This window comes from Homo sapiens, chromosome 15 (genome assembly GCF_000001405.40).
Source record: "Homo sapiens chromosome 15, GRCh38.p14 Primary Assembly".
Lineage (NCBI taxonomy): Eukaryota > Metazoa > Chordata > Mammalia > Primates > Hominidae > Homo > Homo sapiens.
This window is the reverse complement of record NC_000015.10, coordinates 36,415,386-36,425,104: the sequence shown is the minus strand read 5'-3', so window position 1 is coordinate 36,425,104 and position 9,719 is coordinate 36,415,386. Positions and strand designations below refer to the sequence as shown.

Genomic DNA, 9,719 nt, shown 5'->3' with positions numbered 1-9,719 from the left:
AATCGGCTTTTGACTGTCATTGGAAACCAAACCGACGTTTCAAACTTTAGAACTCTAGAATAATTTTATGAAGGTAGAAATGCTACTAAGGATTTATGATTGTCATATTTAAAAAATTCATTCATTCTGCTTGGTGAGCACGTGTGTGAGTGTGTATGTTTAGAAATGGTGGTAGTAGCAGTAAACAATTTTTGAGCTGTAGATTTCCCTAAACTTCATGTCCACTATTGACGGGGTCAAAGGATACTATAACATGGATTTGTCTGCCTCATCTGGCAGCTTCAGTCCAGCAGAAATGAGAGAAGAGAGCCATGAAAGCAGAGGCTGAGGAGCAGCATCCAGTTAATAATGTGGGGCAACACACCCAGGGCTCACAATGATGGACTCCGTAGAGTGGGGCAAAAACATTCTTACGGCCTTTCGCATGGAAACTGTATCACCAGCCCCACTTCCTACCTCTCAAGAATGTCTGAGTTTTAAATGAACAAACGATTGGTGAGGTGAGATGCCAAAATAAGGAGAAACATATTAACCTTCTTTGAGGTGGAGACAGGGGAAAGGTACTTCCCAGAGGGAGGTTTACAAAGTGAAAGCCACTTTAATTCCTCCACAGCGTTTTCTTTCTTCCTTTCAATTGTTATATTTAGCAAGGGCCCCTTTCTGTTTTCTTAGCTTTGCTAAGTAAAGCATTTAGGATGACTAGCTTTTTTGGTGTTCTATGAATTAAAACTTGTAGGGTGTTAGGAGATATTTTGATCTCTCTCTCTCTCTCTCACTTTCTTTTTGAGACAGGGTCTCTCTCTAGTCCTTATTGAAGATGACAAAAAATTATTTTTTTGAAGATGCATGATAGAAAAAAATATATGATCAAAATGGGTTCCTATAACCCATTTCACCTCTGAATTGCCTCTTTTTTCTCTCTCTCTTTATTTCCTTCTTTCTTTTTTCTTTCTGTCTTTCCCGTTATCAAAAAATGTTTCTTAAATGTACAAAGTATAGAAGGCATAAATTGTTTCTTTATTAATAAATGCAATTTTAGCAGTAGATGTGTAAATTTTAAGTTAGTCATTTACTTTCTGCTTGTTCATTTTCTCAGTGTGGAATTGTTTCTTAATGTAGAGTTCTAATGGCTTTTTTAGTTTTAACATGTATTAAATTTTCTGCTATCCAGCCTTTTACCAATATATACACTTTAGCTGGGATTCTTGTGTAGAAAGTATAGCAGGATTATATTTCAAGATTCTGAGGAATGTGTGGAATTGTGAGAGATTAATTTACATTCACTGCAGTTATGGTATTACAATTATTTATTATATTGTAATCATCTGAAAATTGTAAATCAAAGAGTAGCATATAAGAGGGGGTCTTCAAAATGTTCATGGAAAATGTGTGTTATAAAAAACAATGCATGGATTTCAAATTTTTTTTGCACCAAAATAAACTTATACTAACTTGTAACATGTCCAAACAGGATCTAGTTTAAGGTACAAAGAAGATTAAGACATCAATTGAAAGAGCACCTATTAGAGCAACATAAATTCTGCTAAAATTGAAGCAAGAACAAACATCAAATTTATGGTGAAGGTTGGGTAGAGGAGTGATGAAATCATTGATGCTCTATAGAAAGTTTCTGGGAATAATGCCCCAAAGAAATCAGCAGTTTACAAATATATAACCCATTTTAAGAAGGGATGAGGTGATGTTGAAAATGAAGTCCACAGCAGCAGCCTGTCAACATCAATTTGTGAGGAAAAAAATTAATCTTCTTCATGCCCTGATTGAAGAGGACTGATGATTACCGGTAGGAACTATAGCCACTTGATTCAGTGTATACAATTCTGACTGAAAAGTTAAAGTTAAGCAAACTTTCCACTTGATAGGTACCCAAATTGTTGTGCCCAGAGCTGTTGCAGACAAGAACAAAGTTTTGGATGGAAAGTTTCAACAAGTGGAATTAAGATCCTGAAGGCTTTCTTTGAAAACTTGGAACAGGAGATGAAACACAGCTTTATCAGTACAATCCTGAAGACAAAGTACAATCAAAGCAATGGCTACCAAGAGGTGGAAGTGGCCTGGTTAAAGCAAACATGGACTGGTCAAGAGCAGAGATCATGGCAGTGGTTTTTGAGTTGCTGAAAACATTTTGTTTGTTGGCTTTCTGGAGGGCCAAAGAATGATAACATCTGCTTATTATGACACTGTTTTGAGAAAGTTAGGCAAAGCTTTAGCAGAAAAACATGCAGGAATGCTTCACTATAGAGTCTTCCACCATGACAACGCTTCTGCTCACTCTTCTCATCAAACAAGCACAGTTTTGCAATAGTTTTGATGGGAAATTATTAGGCATTCATCTTACAGTCCTGGCTTGGCGCCTCCTGACTTCTTTTTGTTTCCTAATGTTAAAAACTGTGTAAAGGCACTCATTTTTCTTCAGTTAATCATGTGAAAAAGACTGCATTGACATGGTTAAATTCCCATTTCCCTCAGTTCTTTTTCAATTTTTTAAAATTTCTTGTATTATTATACTTTAAGTTCTGGGATATATGTGCAGAACGTGCAGGTTTGTTATATAGGTATACACATGCCATGGTGGTTTGCTGCACCCATCAACCCGCCATCTACATTAGATATTTCTCCTAGTGCTATCCCTCCCCTTGCCCCCCACCCCCTGAAAGGCCCCGGTGTGTGATGTTTCCTTCCCTGTGCCCTTATGTTCTCATTGTTCCACTCCCACTTATGAGTGAGAACATGTGGTGTTTGGGTTTCTGTTCCTGTGTTAGTTTGCTGAGAATGATGGTTTCCACCTTCATCCATGTCCCTGCGAAGGACATGAACTCATCCTTTTCTATGGCTACATAGTTCTCCGTGGTATATATGTGTCACATTTTCTTTATCCAGTCTATCACTGATGGACATTTGGGTTGATTCCAAGTCTTCGCTATTGTGAATAGTGCCACAATAAACATACGTGTGCATGTGTCTTTATGGCAGAATGATTTATAATCGTTTGAGTATATACCCAGTAATGGGATGGCTGGGTCAAATGGTATTTCTAGTTCTAGATCCTTGAGGAATCGCCACACTGTCTTCCACAATGGTTGAACTAATTTACACCCCCACCAACAGTGTAAAAGCATTCCTATTTCTCCACATCTTCTTCAGCATCTGTTGTTTCCTGACTTTTTAGTGATAGCCATTCCCCAGTACCCTCAGTTCTTTAGGGATGAACTAAATGGCTGGTATCATCACTTACAAAGGTGTTTTAAACTTGAGCTTCTGTTGGAAAAAAAAAGTTTATGTATTTTACTTTTATCTTTTAATTCCATTTTCCACGAACTTTTTGAAGTCCCTTCCCATAATGACTACATAAAAGTTGATTAGAATCCTCCATTGTCCCTCCATGTTAGACAGTATTTTTCATATAAATATTTTAAAGCACATTGCAAATGATGGCATCCTTTTTTTACTGATGGATTGACCAAGGTACCAAGCCAGGTGCCTATGCCAGGTTATGTTTAGAGAATAGAGAAGCTGGGAATTTTTTCCCCTCATTTCTCCTCTCCCTCACTTTAGCTTTGATTATATTCATCATTACTCTTCTCCCATGATGTTCACTCTAGATAACAGGTTGTTTTGAATGGTACTATCTAGAGGTTTTATCCTGGTGGAATAAGGAGATTTTCACACATAAAAAATGATGCTTCTTGCATTTAGTAGCTAAGTTTGGGATCCTACTAACAGAATGATTATAGTCAATAAATATGGAAAGTAGCCTGATAATGAAAGGAAGAAATATTAAAATTTGTATCTTTAAGGCTACTTATGATAAATTAAATGTCTTTCTTTGACAGAATAATTTAAACATTGCTTTATTACTGCAGGCCACACACTCTGTTATTAAAATAATTCTGAGTTTTCACATGTGCATGTTGTTCCAACAGCCCTGCATATTTTCTTGTTTTATGCCTGAAACCAAATTAATTACTTTGTTTAATTTCATGAACATGCCAAGCTGCAGTTATGAATAGCTAGTAATATCAAGTGTTTACATAGAGAGTATGAGATGTTCCAATAAATATCTACCCAATTACCAAACAGCTGAAGGCAATATTGTTTCCAGGTAAGCTGAACAAATTATATGTTTGCTATATTTAACAGAAAATGAAGCAATTGCAAAGTCAGCACTGAAGTTTTGTTAAAATATGATGAAGCTCATAATGTCAAATTAAACTTTATTAACAAACCAATTTGAAAATACAATATTGCATAAGACAATGTGTTTTTAAAGCTAAAGAATCTCAGTGAAAACACAGATGCATCTTGAGTATCCAGTGTACTGTCGCTATAGACATTTTTTGACACACCTTCATGAGGTGAAGAGAAATCAGTGTGGGAGGGCAGTTCAGCTGCATATTGTACTTTTATAGGTCTGTTAGCCTAGAAAAAGATATAAACATATTTTCCAAATACAAAATAACAACAACAACAAATTTTTGTATCAGTGCTCTGGTGTTTGCATAGTTCATAGTTTTCTATAAGTTATCTTATTTAATTCTTAGGCAAGACTCTGGAGGAAGTTGGTATAATTAATGTTTTCCAAAAATAATTTTTATTTTACAAGTGAGAGAATTAATGTTGTGCTAGAATTAGGATGAGGGTGAGGGTGATCAGGGTGAACGTTAGAGTGTATTAAGGTTAAAATTAGGTTGGGCCTCTCTTGTTGAATGACCTGCACCAGAATTCTCTCCACATAGTGGATGTATATCTGTATTGGTTGGAGGTGACTAAAAGGGGATATAGGACCACCTAGAACTTCAGGTTCAAGGGAATTGGGCATTGAGCTCTGAAGCCTGAATTTAATCCTGAATTATAGCTGTCTCTTGTGAGACTCTAGTTCTAGCATTCAGTCAAGACAGAAGAAGGAAAATATATCAACAGTCATAGGCTTGGGTCTGTGGTTAATACTCCATAGTTAAGGAGAGTCTCCACCGACCACTGTCCCTGGTCCTCCATCTCCCTTCATCCTCACAGGATCTTGTCTTATGTATCTTCTCTTTTGCCATCAGTTTTATTAAGTCCCTGTTTAGCTGCTGGGGGTAAACAGCTTTGTTTGCTTACAATCACTTTCCCTGCTCATCTGCTTTGATTTCTGACTGAACAGACCAAAATAAAGAGACCCCAAATACTAAGACCCTGGTCACTGTGTCTGCTGAGATATTGGAATCTTTGGAGGTAGCTTCTAATCTTGAGAATCCGCAGATGTTTCCCAGAGTTGCCTATTTACTCCTTTGCTACTTTTTTTTCCTTTTCAAATTTGAAGTTGTTAGTGAGGTTTTCCTTGACTCACCTTCTTTTTCTGGTATTACCTCCAGGATGTACAAGTGGGGTTGAGAATGGCAACAACCCTCTAGGAAATTTTTGGTATTTTGCTCTGCCTTTTCTGTTAAATCTTTCCAGTAAAGGGTTGAACACTTTTACATTTATTTGCTCTTGTTGGTTGCCCCATTCACTTTAAAAAGTATAATTGGTCGCTTTGTTGGATATTGGAGAAAAGACATTCTGCACTCTGATTTCACTTTGCTCATTTTCCTCAAAAATCCTCTCAAATCTTTTTAATTTCAGTTAATTATCAAAACACAAAATACATGCTTGCATAACGCATTTATACTTTTCATATGAGAAAATAGTTTTCTGTGACTATTATCTCTTCCAAAATGACTTTCATGACTGAGTGCCTCTGTCTGAGGCAGTGGCTGACCCTTTTTGTAATCTGATTTGTAAGCTTGTATTTCACTGAACTTCTTAAATGACACTTCACACTCTTGACCAGTTCTCCTGGGAAACTCTATTTGTTGGCTTCTACTAAACATTTCTGAATCAATTTTGATCTTTCTTATTCCTTCTGGGTTTCTTCATGAGAACCTCTTCCTCTGTCTATCCTTAAAACTCCGTGTTTCCCAGGGGTTTGTCCTGGCGCACTGCCCTTTTCAGAAAATATGTACTACTGGCATAATCTTATATATTACATATGGGAATAAAAATAGATCAGTAGGTGAGGGGGAAGTTAGATGCTTAGGTGTGGTCATGTTGAATTTAAGGTAGCTATGACACTTTCAAGGAGAGACTGTACTATAGGCCTTTAGAGATATGAGTCAGGATTAAACAAGAAGTCTATGCTAGAAATTTAGATACAAAAATACTCTAGGAGCCAACTGAATATCAAAGCTTGTCTTCTTACATACTGTGTATCTTCATTCCTTTTTTTTTGAGATGGAGTCCCGCTCTGTCGCCCAGGCTGGAGTGCAGTGGCGTGATTTTGGCTCACTGCAATCTCTGCCTCTCTGGTTCAAGTGATTCTCCTGCCTCAGCCTCTTTAATAGCTGGAACTACAGGCGCCCGCCACCACGCCAGCTAATTTTTATATTTTTAGTAGAGACGAGGTTTCACCATGTTAGCCAGGATGGTCTCGATCTCCTGACCTCGTGATCCGCCCGCCTGGGCCTCCCAAAGTGTTGGGATTACAGGTATGAGCCACCGCGCTGGCCTCTTCATTCATTTAATGTCAGAGCTCTAGGACTATAACCCAGCACCTACTACACAGTCAACTGAAAGTCCCAGACAAACACAAATACAGACATATCCCAATAATATCCCAAACTTTATTGGTCATTCTCCTCTCTCCTGCCTTCTCTACTTTTTCTGTATTTGTATTCCTCCATTTAGTAAATCATATCACCCTAAGCCCTTTGACCTAAGTTTCTTGGGAGTCATCTTAGACTTCCTTCTTTTCCTCAACATCTATAATTTGTCAATGATCAAGAACTATAGATTCTACCTACTGAATGGTATCGTGTTTTCATCCATCCACTGTGTTTTGGTTACAATACTTTCTGCGGCAAATAATAGCAAACCTGACTAAAAGTTGTTTAAATATCAAGGACTCTTGCCATTATGCATAAAAAAGATTCTGGACTTAGGCTGTTTCCAGGGTTAGTTCAGCAGTTGAAACTATCAGAACTCTGGGATGGCTTTTCTACAGCTTCTTTGATCTTCTGCTTCAGCAATATAGCAATGTAGCAATAAACATCACTTTCTCCCTTAACAAAATCCAGAAGCCAAAAGGATAGGGTTCTTTCTCGAATTCCTCAGTCTTCCTATCAGGGTGGAAAATCTTTCCTAGGGATACCCTTCCTCCCACTACCATCAGCAGCCTCCCCGCAGGTTCATTGGTAAGGACTGGGTCTCACAGTCACTCAGACTCCTTGTCTATCTGGCTTTCTAGGCTTCCACAGCGGAGACAGGCTCCTCCGGGAAGGAAGCAGAATGGGAAAATGTCTGTCTGTCATTTCCCCACTTTCCCTCCAAGTTGCTTTGCTGTTGCAGGACTGAAGACTTTTATGTCTGGCCTAGACTAATAAATTCTTGAATTATCTCCCCACTGCCCCTGCCACCAACAAAGTCTACTGGAGTGAGCTTTCCAAAACACATCACAAATATTAACAAAAATGTTATTCCTTTTAATTTTCTATTTCAACCATTTTCATATTTGATAAAGAATTTTTACATAAGTTAAACCCATGTTAATTCATTAGGAAAGAGATATTCAGAGATTGAATCCACAGCTAAAGATGTCATCTAAAAACTATGAATAAGAAGCTACAACTTTTGAGAGTCTGAGGGATGATGGAAGAAGCATTGCTTGGAATAGCATTTCTTTTCCTTGGTCAACAGAAAATGTACAGGTAGGCTACTCACTCTTGGGACACTGAAGGTGTGACTGCCTCCCAAATTTTTGAACATAAATCTAGTCACTATATTTTACAAGCAAATAATGTGGACACCTAATATATTTTCATGATGGGTACACCTGAGAAGTTGCAACTTATATTTTTAATAAAATCATAAAATCACAGAGGAATTTGTGCCTTAAAGTAACATTACTTTGATTCTTTTATTAAAAAAAAAAGAATCTCTTGTAATGTAAACAAGCTCAGAGTCAAGAAAAATTGCTTTCTGAAATCAAGGAACATCTGGATTATATATTCTTAATAGACGTTCAATAAAATATAGAAATGTGACAAGCATGCTTTTATGCAAATAAAGAAGCTTGCAAAATAACACGAACATTTTTGTCTGGGAATCTCTTGAAAACATTATGATAGCCTTGTTTTTGTACTTTTTATGTCATGAAGAGGTCATTTCAGCATCATACTTTATTTAGAGACTTAAAAATTATTCTCGAGTTATTTTAGGTACAGAAACTAAAAATAATGTTAATGGCATAGTTGGAATATTTATGAATGGCTGATACTATTTTGGAGTGAATACAGATGATTACATCTGTATATAATATTAGTAGGAAAATTTTTTTTGCAGAAATAGGATCATAATGTTCACATCGTTCTACATCTTGCTTTTTCACTGACAATATATCATGACTATTCAATTACATTTTCTACTATATTATAGAACATGTTAACTTTTTGCAGAAAATTAATTTTTTAGTTGAGTCTTAAGGTTAATATTAAAATTAATATTCTTTCCTAAAGCATCCACACTAATAACTATGCAAAGACTAACAGTGGGAGTAACTCTTTTGGGCTTTTAAATATATTTTACAAAGCTGAAGTATATAATTTATGTTATAAATTTATCCAGGATGGAAAAGGGGTAAGTGTGGGCAGTGTAGGAAAAGAAATCAAGGAAGAGTCTGGTCCTTCCTCATTCAGTGACCAGTGTCTTCCTCTTTCCTCCCAAACTCTCAGTTTCAACCTTCCAGTCAGGGCTTGTGGTGGCTGGGAAAGCTCCACAAAGGCGGACTGGACTCTCAGGCTCACATCTCAAATATGGCTTGTGGGTGTGGTTGTCCTCTCTAGAGCCTGGCTCAGTGGAGAACACGTAAAGAAAGCCATCAGAGACACAGTTTGGCTCATAGTAAACACTCAATAAATAAATAAATACATACATATTATTATTATTATTATTATTATTATTATTTTTGAGGATGTTCTGGTCTTAGAATCTTACCATACATAAACCTGGGACCCACACCCAAATATTCTAATTTTATTAATTTGGGTAGGGGCCCGGGCATCAGTGTTTGCTTCTAATATGCCTCCAACAGTGAGAAGCAGCTATCTCTGAAACAGGACATCCCATGAGCTAGCTCTCACTGCATACTTATTTGGTTGCCAGGCAGTGTTCTTCATGATTCACACACTCCTTTAGTTCTCATAGCAATCTGTGATAGGGTTTATTATCCTCACTATGATGATAAGGAAACTGAAGCACAGAGACAGTAAGTAGCTTGCTCAATGCCACATAGCTAGCAAATTGCTGACTTAGGATTTGAAGCCCAAATTGGAGCATTCAGTAAAATAGAATATCCAGCAACAAGAGAAGAATGCTGAAAGCTTCCTCACATTTTCAACTATAGGAAGAACTTGGAGTCACTAGGTTGAACAACCGGTTAATGGTCAGTAAGGAGACTGAAGGCTAGAGAGAAACAGATGCTGCCACGTATCAAGACCTTGTTAGCTTAAGAGGCAAAACTTCAGCCTTCAATCTAACTGAGTTGTGAGTTAAAGAGAGCTCTGGTGACTCTCTGACATAGCTGCAGTTTCAGATTTTGCAGTCTGCTATGTACCTAAGTGAGTAAAAGAGAGTGTGCTTACCAGAGTGTTAGACATATGGGTTTGTCTAAAGTGCTTATTATTTTA

At 37.2% G+C, this 9,719-nt stretch overlaps 1 annotated feature.

Moving 5' to 3' along the window:
• Positions 7,282-7,479: a silencer, noted in NCBI's record as "fragment chr15:36709827-36710024 (GRCh37/hg19 assembly coordinates)". NCBI's record gives its function as "represses an EF-1alpha promoter that drives an FKBP-Casp9 reporter gene in an ReSE screen in HepG2 liver carcinoma cells {active_cell/tissue: HepG2}" and the evidence as "EXISTENCE:reporter gene assay evidence [ECO:0000049][PMID:32094911]".